This window comes from Homo sapiens, chromosome 6, assembly GCF_000001405.40.
Source record: "Homo sapiens chromosome 6, GRCh38.p14 Primary Assembly".
Taxonomy (NCBI): Eukaryota; Metazoa; Chordata; class Mammalia; order Primates; family Hominidae; genus Homo; species Homo sapiens.
In genome coordinates this window covers 20,400,365-20,418,755 of record NC_000006.12, presented here as the reverse complement: position 1 = coordinate 20,418,755, position 18,391 = coordinate 20,400,365, and the positions used below count along the sequence as shown (strand labels likewise).

Genomic DNA, 18,391 nt, shown 5'->3' with positions numbered 1-18,391 from the left:
AGTGGCTAGCAGTACTCCCTCCCCTGCAGGTACGCTCTAGAGAGGAGACCACAGCTGGAAGGTACTAATGGGATCATTCAATGCCTTTACTCTGACACAGCTAATAACCTTCTGATCGAGAACACAGGCAATAACCAATTTCTGCAACTGTCCACTTGGCAGTTATACTTCTCAGGGTAAGTATTAAGTTCACAGTCTAGTTTGTCCGCCTTTAGAACTCTGATTAACACAAAGCCGCCCTCCAGATCAGTAAATCAGAATTCCTAATCCTGCACAGTTTAGGGCTAGACCTACTCCTATTGAGATCTCCCTAGGGTGCAAAAATTGCAAGAGACCTACCTTAGCTAAAACAGACAGCCAACTGGCTGGCCATTTTAACAGTTATTTGCATATTATAAGAAATAAAAAGCAAGACTTAAAAGAGCTCAACACTTGCCACTTGTTACTGTCGAATGTGATAATGCATCTCTAGTTCCATCTGACAAATATTTACAAAACTCGACTATATGGACAGCGCTGCTCTATTCCCATTTCTTTCACTCCACAAGTCAGATGGGAGGCCCACACGTCGGTCCCCAGTGCTGGATTTGGAAAAGAAGACAGTGGTTTAGTCACGCTAGACCTCCAGAGGTGGCTGTTGTTTGAGGGCCACCCCTTGTCTACCCTGACTACATAGAGCAGTGAAAAGTCAAGGGATTAGAGAAGCTGATCCTTACACTCTAGAGCAAGGCAGGAAGCAAGAAGTGAGGACTGCTTGCCTTCCTCCCCCAGCCTCTATAATAGAACCAACCACAAATGGCAAACTTAAAACTGTCACTGTAACCAGAACTTGTTTTGGCTGTAGGTAGACAGAAAGAGAGAGGAAATGCCCACCGATGGTCAGAGAGATATTTTTCGAATAGAACCACCAAGACGAACCTGGACTATATATAACAGAACCTGGTAATCTTTCATATGCATTTTCAAGACACAGGTTTTCTTCAAAAGGAACTACCAAACCGTCCCAAACACCCCTTTTAACATGGCTGTAATTAATTAGTGTTTGTGAATTAAATGACAGCTGTTAAATGGACAGGTTATATGCCTTATAAGCATATCCAGGCTTTGGGCTAGTGCAGAAATAAAAGTATTTCTGCCAGTCTGATCTGGGCCTTTTTTTTTTTTTTTAAATCCATTATCAGGAAATAAAAATCAAGTAACATCTTTTTAAATTTAAAAGTTTATTTAATTACACTTATTTTTTAAAAAGTTACTAACTTTTAAAACACTTATTTTTATTCAAAGTCATTACTTAAGATTTTGGATTCTATTATTTTGGTTACAATTTACATTATGGTATTCACTCATTCAGACTGTATGTAATCCAAAGCTTTTCACACAAAGAACCGTGGTGTCTATTTAATGCCTTTATTGGTTTTTATAATGAGTTGGGATTGGGGGGAAGACTGTACCAGCATTTATCAAACGGTCACCCTGTGCCCAGCTCCACACTGGACACTTTCCCATAGTCTCTCATTTCATTTACTTTTCACTGTATCTTTAAATACCCAAATTACCAGACATACAAAGGAGAGCTACCATTTCATTTTCAGATAAGCCTTGTCCATCCAGTTGGCAATTTGATTGCAGCTATAAAAATTTTTTAATGATGCCAGGTAAGAAGCCAATAAAAACTGAAGGAATTAAAAGAAAAAATAATTGTCAAACATGCCAGAAGTCTGGAGAAAAGTGGGGAAAGCAACTTCCTTGTATATCAGGCAAGGAAAAGCCTAGGGAAGGCTAAGAATTTCTGTTGCTGAGTCCCGTGTGCTGTGGTGACTTAGGAGGCCTCCCAAAGCCCTCCCATTTAAAGGAGGGGTGGCCAGGCCCAGGAAAGAGATCAAAGGGTACTGCTAGTTTTAAGTGTCTTGGTGTACCTAAGACTATCCTTTGTAAACTCTGATGTTACTAGAATCTCATGATATGAGCAACACCTTATTTGATGTTACCATATAACATTGCAGCCCAGTTACGGCCTGGGTTTCCCCCTACTCCTTTCTTTTCCCAAACACTGATTCACACACAAACTTGGTGCATTGGAATGACGTTGGGGACTTGTTAAGCCATACACCAGTGCTGCTCACCCCCACTTCCACTTCCTGAGTTTCTGACAGTGGGTCTGGAGTACAACCTGAAAACTTTCATTTCTAACAAGTTCCCAAGTAATGCTGCTGGTCCAGCACCACATACTTAGAACCATTTAAAAAATAAAAGAAAAAGAACCCATCAAAGACAAGACCAGGGTATTTATGATGTGGCAAAATCTTCACCAACTATGACACAAACCACACAGAGGCAGGGAATTTTGTCTGTTCTGACACTGCTGTATTCCTGGTACCTAGAATGGTGGCTGGCATATGCTAGGTGCTTAACACCTATCTGCTAAATAAATGGGTCAGCCGGCCCTGTGGTTGAAACTGGGGCCAGCGTGGGTATAGGTGAGCAAGGAAAATAGCTGCAGAAGCACCAGCAACAAAGGGAATGGCTGCTTACTGTTGAACTGTCCTGAAACGGAAGCCCAACTTAATGACAACCACAATAATGATATACATGAGGAAGACAACAAATGTCAGAGTGTTTAGCACATGGCCAGGGACGGAGCCAGCACTTTACAGGCATTATTGCATTCAATCCTTACAGTAACTCTGTGAGGTAAGAACCATGATTTTCCTCATTTAACAGACGAGGAAATGGGGTTTGGAGGGAAAGTGATGTGACCAAATCATCTAACTATGAAGTGGGATTAAAAACCACACTGAGAAGTTGACCCTGAGCAGAAAGTCGCTCTTAAATTACCCAGTTGGGTCAATGATAAATGCAAAACTTCCTTCCCTGAACTGCAGACTTTGATCCTTTCTTCTGCAAGTTAGAGAGGCTTCCAGCAGCCAATTAATATCATGCCTCATCATAAAAAAGACAGGGCTTAGGTGGCCTGCACAGAGCACTACCAAGAGTAGGGGCAGTGGATCCCAGTTCTGGGGTGCCATGGGGTGGTTAGGCATTCCAAAGTTAATCCAGCTATGAGAAATCCGTTGCTTTTAAAATGTATATCATATTTTAAAATTTAAATATGTACTATATATAGAAGAGGCAAACATGATATCCTCTTCTACCCTTTCTTCAAGGTCTAGTTCGGTGGTTCTCAGCTGGGGGTGATTTTGCTTCCCGGGGACATTTGACAGTGTGAAGATAATTTCGATTGTTGTTAACTAGTGGTGCTAATGGCATCTAAGTGGGCGGAGGCCAGGGATCCTGCTAAACTTGCTACAATGCACAGGACAGCCCTCCACCACTGTTAACTGCCCACAAACTATCACCACGGAGAAGTATCTGACCAAAATGTTAAGAGCGCTGAAGTCCTGTTCTAGTTTAAAACTTCCTGAAGCCTCCTTTGTCCCCTCCATCAAGTTTGGATGCCTAAGAAACTTCACTGTTATTTCCTTATGGTCTTCATTGCCCTTTCTTTTCTTAGTTATTGAAGAAAATGTGTCGTCTCCCTGTCTCCAGATGAACTCCTTGAGGGCCAGAAGGACACCTTAGTAGCCTCTGAAACTCCCAGAGTATCAGGAAGTGCATTCTGCACAAAAGCGGGTGTTCAGTAAGAGCCTGTCCAATAGTTTTCCCTGAAGGAGGTAAAAATGCCGAGAGTTCAGATTTGACAAGTACTCAAGAGTTCCTACCACGGGGAGTGGCGGGGGGAGGCAACTAAGGAACACAAAGTACATTTCCTATAAACACTATCTCATTTAATCCTTCCAGCCAGTGAAGGAGAGAGGATCACTATTTTAGGTAACTACAGCTCATGGATGTAATTTATAAAAGGTCACACACGGTAATTGGCAGAGCGTGTTTCTGGAGCCGGATCTTCAAGTCCACACGCCTTCCATACCACACTACTGTGTCACGCATGCATTTCCAAAGCTGAAAACCTTGCCTCCTAGAGACTATTCCCAGAATTGGGAAGTCTGAGATGCTAACAAGGAAAACAGCAACAAGAAAGGTGGGAAACTTTATGTTATTAGTGTGATCGTCACAAGTTCTGCTACCCAACATAGCGACAAAATTAGCCAACAAAAGGGGTGTTGCAAATTGGGTTTAAACACAAGTAACATATCAAAAGTCAATTATAGAGATACTTAGAATTTACACGGCTCTTTCCTAGACAGGAGTATTCAAAGGCTCATATGTTTAAACTTTAGAATGCTAGAGCTTAAGAAAATAAATTCAAGATTTTTTTTTTTTAATGAGAAAAATCAGAGAGTGTAGGAAATCATGGCAAAAAGAGCTATCTTGGTTCAGGACATGACTATGTGACCTGTCTGGATGCACAGTACTTTCCAGCTGGCTCTTTGCTTTGTGAGGTTGCAAACTGTGGGCTTTCTCACAGCAGCTAGGAGACGGGGTAAAGCATGTAATAAATAACATCTGATGGCTCGTCTCTGCGAGCCCTGACAGCATCGATCCCCAAAAATCAACCTGATGAATTTGTCTCGTTTTCATATTACAGAGGAAGAAGTGAAAATGATGAAAGGTTTTTGTGGCACCATGTTAAATTTCTTTTATTTGTAAGCTAGGGAGACCAGGTCTTGGCCTGCTATTGTTCATCAAGACTTCCACTATAACCTCTATGCCAAAGTCCCACTTCCGGTGCTCAGCCTTAGCCCCTCAGAAAACGGGATGGCCCATGGAGTCACTCACAACCACCCCATCCATTCTGACTAATCATGCCTTCCACACAGTGCACACCCCAGACAGAGGAGAAGCTTGGCCTCACCCATTCTTCCAGCCCCTGGAGTTAAATATTTGGGAGTCAAAGGTCTTGTATTTCTTTTCTCCCTTAATCTGCCCTTCACTTCCACCTGCCTTTTCACACCATCATTGTTGCCATCCTGCTTCCAGACTCATCAACTCAATAGCGCCCGTACTCTAAATGGTGTGCTCTGGTCCTCGTATTCACATTTCTCGCTCTGTCCACTTGGTTAGCTGTGTTTCAGGCAGGTCCAGACCAGACAGAATGAAAAGCCTTCCTACTGTTAAGGCAGAAAAACCACTCAAGGGTACCCAGCTGGTGCTGGTGCCTGGCGTCTAGCCACCAAGCCCACTTTGACCTCCTGAGCTCGGATTCTCAACCGCTTGAGAATCCAAGAAACCACTTCTTGTTTCACATCTTTTAAGTTTTGGGAGACCCATCTTTGTATGGTTTGCCTGGGCTACAACCTGGGAGTCTGCAAGTTTTGGAACCACGAGAGCAGGTATGAGGCTTGGGGCCCTGGGGTCTTTCCAAACGAGGAAGAGCTGAGATAAGCATTATGTGAATGGATGTGGCAGAAGGCTCCTGCCTTCACCTGGACAATCTAGTTTCAGTAACTTTTCCCTGTGCTCAACTAGCCGTGCTTCCAGAATGTTTCATCAGAAGATCTTAGGGCTTCTGACAGAGGATAGGGATGGAGCCTGGGAATCTGAATCTGTAACAAGTGCTACAGGCAATCAGGTAAACTTGAAAAACACTGGATTATTTCTTTTTGACAGGTATCTTGGATTTTTACTACTTAATACAATGCCAGAGACCACAGAGGATAAATACTAGGAATAAGCTGAGACTATGGAGCCAGGCTCCTTGGGTTTAATTTCAGTTGCCCCACTTATTAATGGGGCCCAGAGCCAGGCCATTAACCCCTGGCTGTCTGCTTCCCTGTGTAGAACAAGGATGATAATAATACCCACTTCATAGGTTGTTATGTGGATAATGTGCTAATGCGAGTAAAGCACTTAGTTTAGTGCCCTCGATACATGCGGGCACTCGATAAACATTAGCTATTATTATCCCATAGACCAGAGACTGCTGAGTGGCAGCCCTTAAGCCAAATCTGGCCTAGAGACCTATTTTGTTTGGCCTGCGCAATTTCCTTTTAAATTCAGCCAACATTTTAAAACTGGTAGATTTCTGGCATTTTGAGAAGGTTGAAGACCTGGCAAAACACAAGGCCTGCCATCCCCTCTGGCACCCACTGCCTGTGACCAGGTCCCAAGGCCCCCTTTTGATAGTACGTTTCTTCTTTATTCGTGAACAATCCCCACACCACTCAAACTTCCCACCCCCAATCTACTCCCCGCCCAGCCCTTGTAGAAAGGCAACTCCAATTCTAGATCAGTTTTGCCAACACATCCAACCTTCGGTCCTGTTATCTCCCCATACTGATGACTCTAGTCCAAATGCTGCCTCCTGACGCCAATCTTTCTGCCTGCCTGCCTTTGACTTATGTCTCCCCGCCAGAAAGGGCCTCCCCAATCTTCCCTTTCCACCAAGCCCAGTGGTTCCAACTGAGCACATTAAAAAAAGAAAAAAAATCCATGTCTTAATCTCACCTCTAGACATTCTGATTGGTCTGGGTGGGGCCTAGGTATCAGTATTTTTAAAAAGCGCCCTGGGAGATTCACATGTGTGCCCTAATGTACTCCAAGATTGACAACCGTGGCCTCCCCATCTCACGGCCCAGCTGGAGTCTGGTGACTCTCACCTGTTCCTCTGGCACTTTCTGTCGACACCACACAACTGAGGACTAGATGAGTCTTGTTTTCTCCCTACCGCCTGTTTAGTCTTGCTTGCAGATCAACTTGTGTTTAAAGCTTGTCTCCTCAACAGACTGTAAACTCAAGAGTGGGCGGATCACACCTCATACTTCTTTTGTATCCCCAATAGGACTAATGGGGTACCAAGCACATGGAAGGTGTCTAATGAAAATGCCTCTTCTCAGGTAGCTGAGCCTATAGTGTAGTGGGCACTGCAGGGACCACATGATGAAAAAGCAAGCCAGACCGATTTCTTGGAGCTTACAGGTTTGGAGGAGGAGTAAGTCATGAACATGCAAGATTAGGCTACGAGGCAGACCATGAGGTGTTACAGGAAAGAAGCAGTAACCCAAGGGAAGGGAGAGGCCCAAGCCCCTGGGAAACTGGGGGAGGCTGTGCCTACGCCTTCCCTTGATGTGGGCCTCAATGGGCCAGTGGGAGGAGGGCAACAAAAGGAGTAAGGTGGAGAGGGAGAAGCTACGAGCAAACACACCAGAGGGAAATCTGCGGTGCCTGCAGCACCACACTGTCGCAGCAGCCGAGTGCAGAGGAATGGGAAGCAAGACCGAAAAGGCAAGATTTCACCATCCCTTGATGGCAGGAAAAGGTGGTAATTAATTTGGTAAGTCCGGGAAGCAGCCACTGAAGGTGGCAAGTCTGCTTCCTTCTAAGAGCCAGGCAGAGGGCAAGGCGAAGGGGAAGGGGTAGGAATAGATCTAACATAAAAAAGGAGGGGTGAGGAGATGAGAAGGGAAAAGGGAGGCCTAGAGGCAGGTTCCATTGCCTCTGGAGAGCAAGACAACCCCCCGCCCTGCCTTGATATACACACACTGGCAGGGGCTCCGAGTCTGGCAGGGCCCAGCAGCTCAGACACCCTGATTCTTGCCATTCAGTCTTAAGCCATGGTTTACTGTACAGGATTGAAATTATGTTAATAGTGTCATTCATGCTAGTAGTGTCACTTTATTAATACATTTAATCACAGAAATAAAGGTTTTATTCATGACACTATCACTACTGATAGCACTACTACAAGAAGCTTATTCTTCAGTTCTTTTTCCCAAGTCAATGGGCAGCTTATAAAGAAATACAAAGACCCTAGACCCTAAAGACTGCATTAGGCGAGAGCCATTCCACGGTTTACTTCTCCTTCCCATCATCACCATTTTTAGAGAGGTGCAATGGGGTGAAATGAACACTAAGGGCTAGTTAAGAAAATAGATCAGGCCAGGAACAGTGGCTCATGCCTACAATCCCAGCACGTTGTGAGGCCGAGGCGGGCAGATCACCTGAGGTCAGGAGTTCGAGACCAGCCTGACCAACATGGTGAAACCCCGTCCCTACTAAAAATACAAATAAAATTAGCTGGGCGTGGTGGCGCACACCTGTAATCCCAGTTACGGGGGAGGCTGAGGCAGGAGAATCGGCTGAACCCAGGAGGCAGAGGTTGCGGTGAGCCAAGATTGCACCATTGCATTTCAGCCTGGGCAACGGAACAAGACTTGGTCTCAAAACAAAAACAAACCAAGAAAATGGATCACAAAAGGACAGCCCATGAGATGCCTGTGGAAGGAAGGGCAATTATACCATGTTTCTACTTAACACATAATCCTTCCTACGTGCCAGACACTGGTCTAAGCACTTTACAAATAAGAACTCATTGCAACTTCCTAACCCCATAAGGTAGGTACTATCATTCCTCCCAATTTACAGATGAGGAAATGAAAACATAGAGGCCAAGTTTCTTGCCCAAAGTCACAGGGCTAGTGAGCAGAGCCAGAACAAGAACACAGGCACTCTGGCTCCAGGCTAAGTGGCCTGACCTTATACTCAGCTGCCCCTCACTATGCCTTTTAGGACAGGGTGCAGGTTATAAACACATGAGCCTCCTTCTCTCCAAGGGACTGCCAGATGCAGAAAGGCACACAGGAGATAGTGTGGGCCTCAGGGATGCTGCTCTGGTTATGTATCAGAAATGGAGCCCCCAAAGCATCAGAAATGGGGAAGAGCAGAGTGGAACGAAATATACAGACCCTGAGTTCACTGCCCATCATTCTCAGAGTCCAGAGCTACCACCCTTCAGGATCATAAAAACTAGAGCAGGCAGAAGCTCTCCTCAGCAGAAAGTCAAGAGGCATTCAAATCCTCCACTCTCTAAGACAAACTCTACTCGCCAAAAAACTTTCCAGAGGAAATCAGCTTCACTGATTACTACTCTCATCAGTTGGTACTTAATGCTCACTGGCTGTTAGACCGTATCTACACTGGGCACCTTTCTGGTTTGTGGATTACAGATAAGCCATATATCGCTGCCCCTAACGAGTCAGTGCACTACAGCCACGTTAGATTATGTTTCACTTTCAGGCCTCAGGGCTTGAAGCAATTCTATTTTTAAGCTTTCTCAGTTCCAAAAAGGAAAAGAAGGCATTTTAAGGAAATTAGCGTTGGCTAAAGGAATGACAATTTCCTCTTAAAGAGTTAACTGATTAGCCACTTTGCTAAACCAGAAATCTTGGAGCTAACCACAGAGGAAGAACACCTTGTTCAATGTTACTGGGCAAGGGCTGGGGACCTCTGAAAGCATGACAGTCACTCAGGATGTTGGTGGCCCAGGACAAAACTCCGTTACTACCAGAGGGGCACTGTGTGTCCTTCTCCCCAAGAAAGTCTCAAAAATCCTTTTAGATTCTATTCTCTATGAAGCATGTGTCACTTTTTGAGCAACAGAATTGATATAACCACAGAAGACAAATTTGCGAATATCAAATAAATCTTTAAAAATATTACTATCACGTTTTGAAGAGTCATTCTTTCCTTTTTTAAATAATTCCCTTTCATTTAACATCCAAAGTAGCCTTGCTTATTTTGTATCTTTGGGAATAAGTCATTACCCCCACAGCCAACTGTTTAAAGGACACTTCTTTATGTGCGCATTTTTAAAAAAGGTAACCACTCCTGAAGGAAATCTAAAATGTGTCCTACACACCCCAATTTTCCCATATAGGGTTCATGAGACACAGTTAACCTTCTCTTGGTGAATGAGGCTTCTAAGAATTCAAGAGTCTCCCGTTTCGGTTTTGGCTTTGCCACTAGCAAAGACCTGTGACCTTGGGCAAGTAATTTAACAGCACTGGGCCTGAATTTCCTCACCTGCAACATGAAGGGGATTGGGCAGATGAGGACTCTTGTGCCTTACACTTCTCAAATGTTATGATTCCAAGACCAGTGTAAATGCCAACTATTGCCCATGCCAACCTAGAATATCGTTCTCAGGGACTGTCAAGTTCTAAGAATGTTGTCTAGACCACACAAATGGCCCCAGAGAGTTGGGCTACGGTAATGGAAAGCAGACTAAAGTCAATTATTTTTTATTCTTTTTGTCCCCTTTCTATTCCATCAGCTGCCAATTCTCACTGCTTTCTACCTCGAGCTGACATAAACCCCTGCCTTAGTTTACAAAGCTAAGTGGGGGCCTGCATCACTTAGATTCTTCATCAAAGCAAAGTGCATCTGGCTGTGTGATACAATCTGGCAACCAGTGGCCTTCATCACTTCTCCTTCAAAGTTACATTGCATTGGATAGGAGAGTATTTGAGGGCAAAAATTATATTTTTTAAAAGTTATATTGTAGACAAATATGGTGGCCATAAGACTGACCCCCAGTTAAGGTTGGGGAAAGAACGTACATTCCTTGAATTCCAAAAACACATTGCTTTTAGAGGAGAGGGTTTGAAACAAGTGTGAACAGAATATAAACCAATTTCCCTCTTATTGAAATAGAAACTCGGTATGTTATCCCTCTATAATAATCCCCACTCTGTAAGTTTCCTGTCCCCAAAGGCAGTTGTTGCTTTTTAGTACCTTCTGTGGTATAACTTTTCTTTGTGAAAGATACATTTTCCTCGTCACTTTCTGAAGCCAAAGAGAGGGTCAGGGTAGGAAGAAGGAGACACTATTAGTGGTTTCCTATATTTACTGCTTTCCCAGTTATCTTCCATTGTTAAGTCCCATGAACAATGATTAGTAGAAAAAATGCTTTTTAGCAATCGTGAATACAGTCTCTGAAACATTATTTTTAAACTGCTAACAAGAATGAAAATATGCATTAAACCACGTACTTAGTACCTCAAAGAATTCAGGGAAGATTCCCCTTTTTAAAAAACAAAATTGTGAAATCTACCTTCTTTACCTTGCTTTCACCACGTTTTACCTTGCTTTTACCACCTTTCAGGTGGCTTCATGGGAATTTATCAGGGATCTGGTGAGCATAGGCAATTGATTTTGACTCATCCTAGTTACAGCTGTTAGTAGGAAGTAGATGACTAAAAGGGAATTGAAGTTGGCTAGCTTGGGAAAGTAGATGTAAACTGGTCCTACAAATGGAATATTTGTAAAATCAGGTTAACTTAGGAAAACCAGCCAGAAAATTAACTATGAGTACTTGAAGCTATTTGCCAAATGGGTCCAAATCCCTAGGAAAGAGGTTAAAGGTATGGATGATATATCTTTGCAGATGGCATTAAAGACAGAAGAGTTAAAGGAAAACTACTGCTTTATATATTTCTGAGAAACCACAATAAAAGCTTTCACCCCGTCTGTCAATCTCCAGGTAATGTTATTTATGCACGTCTAGGCTTAGAGTATTATTTTCTGTTTTCAAGTTAGCTTTACACAGTATAACATTAATCTCAGAATCCATTCTTCCAAGTAATACACAAGGTGGCGATTTATAGAAAAACAAAAAATCCTTTCCTGTTCACAAGGTGGAGTTCTTCAGCCCACAGTGCCATATTTAAGGGTGCTTTGTTTCAGAGGATGATTAGAGTGGCGCCCTTGGTACTGATTATAGTGGAGCTACCTGTAGTGCCCAAGTCTGGGCACTGCATTATATTAAAACTTCCATTTTGGGGTATGTAGTGACTAAAAATTGTCTCCCAGCTTAAACTTGGCATCAACCATATATCTCAGCAGAAGCAAGATTATTGAGTATAGAACCACAGGAACCCGGCACTTTTCTTTTTATAATTGTACAGGAAAAGAGACCCTGCTGAAATAGCACCTATGGTTCTCCATTCTTAGATGAAAATTTCAAGCACTGAGGGCTCTTTCCCAAAGTAGAATCAGTAGGTTGCTATGACTGTGACAGGACATAGTCTCTTACATTATTAAATCCCAAATTTTCTAGAATAAAATAATTTCAGCTTCTTTTTAGAAGCAGCAGCAGAAAATGATGAAGCCTTGTCTGCTCCATTGAGTAGCACTTCTGACTATGGTTTCTCTGGAGTTCTTACATTTCCAACAGTTCACCAACTAAGATGGAATTTGTCTAATGCATGTCTCTGACATGGTGAAGATTGAGAGTTCAGGTCTAACAAAAGCCGCTAAGCATAAACTGCACCCAAAAGTTGGCAGGTCTGTGGAATCATGGACGGAGTGGAACTCAGGCAAAAAAGTGAGGATGATGTGGCCTTGAATTGTCACAATTCAAGGCATATGCTTGGCAGTTCAACACCACTATCTCTATATAGGCGTGTCTTACTGAAATGTCCCTATTTTACCCCTAGGATGGCCATGTTTTATATATTTAAAAGCCCAAATTAATTGGGCATAAATAATTAATTACAGATCACTTAAAGACTTTTAACAGTTCTCTTCATATATGTAAACAAAGGGACAATGTGCACCTGGCCTTACACTATTTCACTAAGTCAGAAAAAAATTAACATTTGTATAATAAATATGAATTGTACTGGGTGTCTACTTTTTGCCAGGCACTGTGCTAAATAGTTCACATGCATTATCATATTTAACTCTTCAAAAGAACCTTAAAGGTGACACTGTTTTTGTCCCTATGTTACAGAGGAAGAAACTGAGTTGAGAGATTAAGTTATTTGCCAATGAACATACAATTTGTAAATAATAGATGCTTTACAGCTGGTAAGGTAGTACTCATATTTTTACCCCCATTGAAAAAAAGGTGAAGAAGTTGCTTCTGGTTAAGTCCTTAGATATTCTTGAGACAGAACTTGGGATCAGAACCAGATAGGTCTGCAACTCTGGCCACCTGAAGACTTTTCAACCTCTTCTTGGACACAGAGTGTTTAGGTGGTCTTTGTTCAGCCAATCACTTAGCTTTCCCCATCCTGTCTTTCCTGCTTAGGGAAAGAATATCAACAAAATTCAAAATTCGAAGACTTACATGGAAGTCTAATATAATTTCGATAAGAAAAACAATAAATCAAACTTTATATTCAGTGCTTAAGACTTTGTATGCATTGACTAGATAAATTTCCTACACCCTCCCAGAAGAAACAGCTCCTTTTTTGAGACGGAATCTCGCTCTGCCGCCAGGCTAGAGTGCAGTGGCGGGATCTCAGCTCACTGCAACCTCCGCTTCCCAGGGTCAAGCGATTTTCCTGCCTCAGCCTCCTGAGTAGCTGGGATTACAGGCGCGCACCACCACACCCAGCTAATTTTTGTATTTTTAGTAGAGACGGGGTTTCACCATGTTGGCCAGGATGGTCTGGATCTCTTGACCGCGTGATCCGCCCCCCTCGGCTTCCCAAAGTACCGGGATTACAGGCATGAGCCACAGCGCCCGGCCAGTAGAAATAGCTCTTAAAAGTGTAGATAACCGGCCAGGCGTGGTGGCTCACGCCTGTAATCTCAGCTACTCAGGAGGCTGAGGCAGGAGAATGCTTGAACTCGGGAGGCGGAGGTTGCAGTGAGCCGAGATCGTGCCATTGCACTCCAGCCTGGGCGACAGAATGAGACTCCGTCTCAAAAAAAAAAAAAAAAAAAATGCAGATAACCAATGATTCAGCATACATTGCAATCATATAAAAAATGCTTCTGAATATGTATATGAGTAACATTTATATTCCTGTAATGAAAAACCTTTTGTGTGCACATAAACTCAAAAGGATATTATTATTCCTGGAATAATAATTTCATGTCAAGGAGAATAAAGTTTTGAAATAACTTGGAAGATGGTGAGGGTAATTTAGTATACTTTAAATACTTAAATACAATGAACTAGATATAATAAACCTGGCTTGAAAGATAGTCTTAGGGACCTGGCCCAACAAACACTGTTAAAATTTTTTAAAAATCAACTTGAAGCTCTCATAATTTCCCATTATCAAAACTACCCCCTGCAAATCTGTGAATCTAATCCAAGAAGTATGTCAATAGCTGGTTGTTTAAGGTTAGGTTTATGAAATAGTAACAGAACTGTGCAGGGGTCAAATATGCTTAAAATATGTCCAAACATGCTTAGGTCAAGTCAGTAAGAGTATCTGAAGCTAATAAAAGCATGGAATATTCTTGCGACTGAAAACCCAGCACACCGGATACTGCTATGTCTAAGCAGGTACTGTGCTCCGTTTCCCCCCTGCTGGCAGACCCTAGTCACTAAAAAACGATGAGCTTCTTTGACTAAGACTACATCACACATGCCCAGCAAGTATCTCTGGGGCTGGAAAGCAGTTAAGACCGAACCCGGGGAGAAACTGGGAACAGGAAAGAAATAAAAAACGCCTCATTATTCCCAAACCCATCCCATTTCCCAAAGTGCTGCCTATGTGCTGACTTTCTTAAAGACTCCCGCAAAATCTTGATTCTCCAAAAATTAAACCCATTTGGAGCTGAGACAAGGTGAGGTCCACGCCTGGTATAATCAGGCTACCATGGATCTAACTGAGTCTGGTTCGGTTCTAGCCCCGTGGAGGCCAAGCCTCACCACGAGGGTGAAGACCCGGAGGCATGGAGGAAGGGAATGAAGGAGAGAAAAGGAGAAAGGGGAGACCTCCGGGCCACACTTCTTTCTAGTACCAACAAAAAGAGAAGCCGCATACTGACCTAAATCATCTCTCAAAGGCGCTTTATAAATTACAGGGACAAAGGGAGGGGGTGGCGGGTGGCCTGGGAATCCTACAGACACCCTACCCTCTGACCCACCCCCCTCCCCCTCCAGCACAAGGGAAGGAAGACAGAAAACAGAGCTCAACTCGGCCATTGGCGAGAAGCCCCCTCCGGTTTTCTATCGCCCATCCATCCGCCCCCTAGAAAAAAAATCCACGTAAACACCATACCCACCCCCTGGGGCAGACACTCCCGCCCCGAGGTTCCTAGAACCGGAGGCCGGGGCATTTACTTAGTTAGATTTTTCTTGCTTACTCATTTCCCTCGAGCACCCAACCCCCCGTTCCCACTCCAAAACCCCGCTCAACCGCCTACCCTCACCGCTTCAGCCCCCAACAGAATCCGGTGCCCCCGCGGCGTCGGCGGCCCCCGAGCCGTCCCGGTCACTAACCTGCTGCTGTAAGGGCATTTCCGAAACCAGCCTGGCTCCGGGGGGAGGTGGGGGGCCGGCTGGAGAGGGGGCCCGGAGGGCCGAACAGACCGGCGGCGCAGGGCGAGGGCGGGCGCCGGTGGGGGGGTGGGGAGAGGAGAGGGAGGGTGGCGGTGCCGGGGGCGGGTGCGAGGGCGCCGGGACCGTCCCAGGCCAGGGAGCCGGCGAGCAGGAGGAAGTGGGTGCCCCCCTCTCCCCCTCCAGCGCCCCCTCCCGCCGCCGCCTCCTCCCCAGTCACAGGCGCGTCCTGCGCGCACGTGTGCGAAACGTCACCGGCGGGTCCCGGAGAGAGGGACAGACCCAGGCGGCGGGACGGGAACCCAGCTGCCCCCGCCCTCCGTCGCCGGGGGGCGGAGAGGGGGACAGGGCGGGGAAGGAAGGGGCAAGGGGAGAGGCGGGTCAAGGGCAGGCCCGGGGCCCGGCGAGGAAGGCCTGGGCGCTTGGGCCACGCGGGCGCCGCCGCTGCCACTGCCAGGATGCGCCCAGGCCAGAGCGCCAGCCCGCGAGCCCCTCACCCCAGACAGCCCACGCCCCAGTCCGCACCCGGCTTCCAGCCCCACCTCCCCCACGCCCGACTCCCCTCCACCTCCCCCAGCCCCTTTGTTGCCGGGAGTTACAGATCCTAAAATGTGTCAAGCGCAGCCCCGCCGATCCCCTGCGCTCCGAGCACGCCGCAGGGACCCCCGGCCGCCAACGAGCCTCCAAGGCCGACTGGGGGCTAGCACCCCAACAGTCCCCCGGTTTCAACCCCTCAGAGCCCCCCACACCCCAGTTCACTACTCCCTCCCCCACCCCCTTCTCCATCCGGGGCGTGACCCCTTCCTACGCCCGAGAAAGAGGAAGCTTCGAGTTGGAGGGGAAGGGAGAGTGGGGGTAGGGAAAAGTGCAGGAAAAGAAGGGGGGGCCGCGAAAAGTTTTGGAGTGTTTGATGTGGTTCGCGCCAAGGCAATCCCCGCCGCCCCGCGCGCCTGGCCGAGCCCCCCGACCCTCCTGGCGCCGGGAAGAGCACTCAGGTCTAACAATGAACCCTCGTTGGAGGGGCAGCCCCCGAGGCCCACGATGCTCGGCCCAGTGCTCTCCCCGAGCGGCCCGCAGCGCGCCCACGACCCCGCGCGGTGCGAGCCCACCTCCCGCCGGGGCTGGGGACGGTGGGGAGGGAGGGTATTACCGGAGGGCCGCCGCCGCCGCCGCTGCCGCCGCGTCCCAGCGCTGGTGGCTGCTGCAGCAGCCCGGCTCTGCTGGAGGGTCCGTGCGGCGTGGTGTAGAGGAGGCTGCCGGCGGTCTGCTCCGCGCCGGGGGCACTGGGGAGGAGGGGGCCGGCGGCTACGGCGCCGCTTTGGAGGGAGGAGGAACAGGAGGTGGTGGAAGTGTTCGTGGTGAGGATCTGGATGTACGCGCCCGGGGCGGCGGCAGCGGCGGCGGCGGCGGCGAAGCCGGGGCTGGCTAGCAGTGCCCTTTTGTCCATGGAGGCTGCAGCGGCGGCGGCGACGACAGCCGCCCCCTCCCCACCCCCGGCGGTCACCAGGTACTGCTCCAGAGCGGGCTGGATTCCCTTTCTCATCTCTCGCTCCTGCTCTTTTTAGTGTTATGGTATATTAATGTATTGTTTTCAATTTCTTTATTATTTGCAGTCGGAGTTTCCAAGTCTCTCCTCCTTCTCTCCTCCCCGCCCGGCGCTTCCGAGCCCCCTCTCTCTCTTTTCTTTTTATTTTTCCGCACCGCACAGGCCCCGGGGGCCAAAAATAATCGGGGCTCTGGAGAGAGGAGGGTCCCGGCCGCACGGATATCGGGCCCCAAGCGGGGATGGAGGCGTCGGGGGCGGCCGATGCAACGGATTGCGAGGCGGCGGCGGCAGCCCGGGTGCTGCGGCCGGCAGCTGAAAAATGGCTCCAGGAAGCTGCTGCTGACAATGAATGAAGGGATACGGTTTACGCGCCAAGGTCCTCCCGCGAAACTCGGATTTCCCGCCGGCTTTTCAAACCATATTTGCATATCCCCGCCCCTCAACCCGCCGAGGACCGTTCCCACAGCCCATTGGGCCGCTACCTCCTTACTTCAGTCCCAATCATGGAGCAGGGCCGCGACTTGCTGGTTTCCATTGGCTGCCGTGCATCATGGTTACCGGGGCGACAGGGACCCTATTTGCATAGGCCTCCTTGATTGGCTGGCAGAAGAGCAGTTTTTAGGGGGTGGGGCAAAGAATTTCCTTCTCTCCCACGGAAGACCACGCCTGGCCTAGGCTCCGCCCCTGTCCCCGCCCGCCCGCCGGGCCGGCGCTACTGACCTGGGCAGGGACTCCGCGCCCCGCAGACTCAGTGTAGATCTAGTCTAGAGCCCAAGTTTCGCTTTTGGAAATTGTCAAGGTGACTAAGGGAACACTCTTTCCTTTGACCAGTCAGTGCAATAAACGAACAGCGCAGGAGATTTTTCCAGATACGTGCCAAAGGCAAGTTGGACCATGCGGACGATGTCTGGCAGGTGCAAAAGGAGCCCTTTAAATCGTGGGCTTCTCCCTTCCTGAAATCCAACCAATGACGCGGCGAGAGCTGATCCCGAGGCCGGGGCTGATAGACAGAAGCATGTGGGCAGACAGAATCGTGGGGGCAGAAGGTTCAGCAGACGCGATTGCGGGCACCAGTTAACATTCCAGATCATTCCCGGTACCTTCATTATTAGCCTGGATAGGGGTAAAGTACAAATTAACTCTTTTGTCTTACAACGGATATTGGTTTGAATCCAGCAGACATTCCCTCTGGCCCAGAAACACCCAGGGCAGTTAATCAGGGCTAACCTAGAACTGATCTACGGGTTTCTAATCCGCCAAGCAGTAATCCGAAAAAGTACACGCTTCCCACGATGACGTCGTGCCCCCAACGAACGCAGGCACGCCCAGGCATCAGCACTTTATATCTTCAGTTTTGTAGGAAGTTCTCTGACTGGAAGCAAACACAACGACTCAAACCTATCCCAAAGTATTTTTAAAATAGTGTCTTTTTTTAAAAAGTAAACTAGAAATTGTCATCAGAAAAATATAAAATGATGTGTCAAACTGACTCCTGAATTTGTTCAAGTATTCATGGGTCTTAAAATTAAAGCTTGCTCCTGAGATTGAGCAGGAAAAGAGACCCCTGCAGGAATGTGGGGGAAGTTATGTATGTAGAGACTAGATCATAATTTATAGTTACGTGCAAAACAGCTGCAGAATTGGTGCTCATAGGTGATGAGGATTGCAACACCTTGAGCCCTTTCACAAGATTTTTATTACTATTATTAATTTCCCAAAACTCTTACTCAGAGTGCTATGAAACACCTGACAAGATGTGTCAGATCAGGCTAGGACTCCTTAATATTTTAGCCTTGTTACCTTTTCTGAAACAGATGAGTTAAAAGTTCCATTAAACCTTGCACCAGGCTCAGGAATATTTTAGT

General features: G+C 46.8%; 2 protein-coding genes across 7 annotated transcripts in view, besides 7 other annotated features; one reads left to right on the top strand and one right to left on the bottom strand.

Annotated features, from left to right (window-relative positions):
• The window catches only part of E2F3 (E2F transcription factor 3), a 91,836-nt gene extending 74,959 nt beyond the window's left edge, over positions 1 to 16,877 (bottom strand). For 4 of the 6 annotated variants that reach the window (NM_001949.5, XM_011514324.4, XM_047418266.1 and 1 more), the window contains exon 1: positions 16,131 to 16,877. In NM_001949.5, coding sequence (NP_001940.1) covers positions 16,131 to 16,523 — 393 coding nt within the window. In that variant the 5' untranslated portion in view covers positions 16,524 to 16,877. Of the gene's footprint in view, positions 1 to 14,923; positions 15,143 to 16,130 lie in introns of those variants that run through there. The other 2 variants (XM_005248865.6, NM_001243076.3) reach the window with 1 other exon arrangement.
• Positions 642 to 711: an enhancer, noted in NCBI's record as "active region_24128". NCBI's record gives its function as "activates an Ori minimal core promoter by ATAC-STARR-seq in GM12878 lymphoblastoid cells {active_cell/tissue: GM12878}" and the evidence as "EXISTENCE:reporter gene assay evidence [ECO:0000049][PMID:35858748]".
• Positions 6,598 to 7,098: an enhancer, noted in NCBI's record as "H3K4me1 hESC enhancer chr6:20411889-20412389 (GRCh37/hg19 assembly coordinates)". NCBI's record gives its function as "activates a minimal SCP1, AML or CMV promoter by ChIP-STARR-seq in naive and primed H9 embryonic stem cells {active_cell/tissue: H9 hESC(naive and primed)}" and the evidence as "EXISTENCE:reporter gene assay evidence [ECO:0000049][PMID:30033119]".
• Positions 7,099 to 7,599: an enhancer, noted in NCBI's record as "H3K4me1 hESC enhancer chr6:20411388-20411888 (GRCh37/hg19 assembly coordinates)". NCBI's record gives its function as "activates a minimal SCP1, AML or CMV promoter by ChIP-STARR-seq in naive and primed H9 embryonic stem cells {active_cell/tissue: H9 hESC(naive and primed)}" and the evidence as "EXISTENCE:reporter gene assay evidence [ECO:0000049][PMID:30033119]".
• Positions 14,923 to 15,542: a silencer, noted in NCBI's record as "silent region_16980". NCBI's record gives its function as "represses an Ori minimal core promoter by ATAC-STARR-seq in GM12878 lymphoblastoid cells {active_cell/tissue: GM12878}" and the evidence as "EXISTENCE:reporter gene assay evidence [ECO:0000049][PMID:35858748]".
• Positions 15,743 to 16,212: a silencer, noted in NCBI's record as "silent region_16979". NCBI's record gives its function as "represses an Ori minimal core promoter by ATAC-STARR-seq in GM12878 lymphoblastoid cells {active_cell/tissue: GM12878}" and the evidence as "EXISTENCE:reporter gene assay evidence [ECO:0000049][PMID:35858748]".
• On the top strand, positions 15,984 to 18,015 carry LOC124901482 (uncharacterized). The gene is made up of 3 exons (XM_047419652.1): positions 15,984 to 16,331; positions 16,376 to 16,487; positions 16,594 to 18,015. Exons 1-3 carry the CDS (start codon positions 15,984 to 15,986, stop codon positions 17,199 to 17,201), a joined length of 1,068 nt encoding a protein of 355 aa, XP_047275608.1. The 3' UTR covers positions 17,202 to 18,015.
• Positions 16,440 to 16,964: an enhancer, noted in NCBI's record as "H3K27ac hESC enhancer chr6:20402023-20402547 (GRCh37/hg19 assembly coordinates)". NCBI's record gives its function as "activates a minimal SCP1, AML or CMV promoter by ChIP-STARR-seq in naive H9 embryonic stem cells {active_cell/tissue: H9 hESC(naive)}" and the evidence as "EXISTENCE:reporter gene assay evidence [ECO:0000049][PMID:30033119]".
• Positions 17,063 to 17,302: a silencer, noted in NCBI's record as "silent region_16978". NCBI's record gives its function as "represses an Ori minimal core promoter by ATAC-STARR-seq in GM12878 lymphoblastoid cells {active_cell/tissue: GM12878}" and the evidence as "EXISTENCE:reporter gene assay evidence [ECO:0000049][PMID:35858748]".

Bases quoted from the DNA above. Each gene is read 5' to 3' on its own strand.
- LOC124901482 (XM_047419652.1), top strand. From the start codon at position 15,984: ATGAACCCTCGTTGGAGGGGCAGCCCCCGAGGCCCACGATGCTCGGCC. The intron at 16,332-16,375 runs GTTCGTGGTGAG...GGGCGGCGGCAG, and splicing joins GAACAGGAGGTGGTGGAAGT to CGGCGGCGGCGGCGGCGAAG. The intron at 16,488-16,593 runs GTACTGCTCCAG...TATTATTTGCAG, and splicing joins CCACCCCCGGCGGTCACCAG to TCGGAGTTTCCAAGTCTCTC.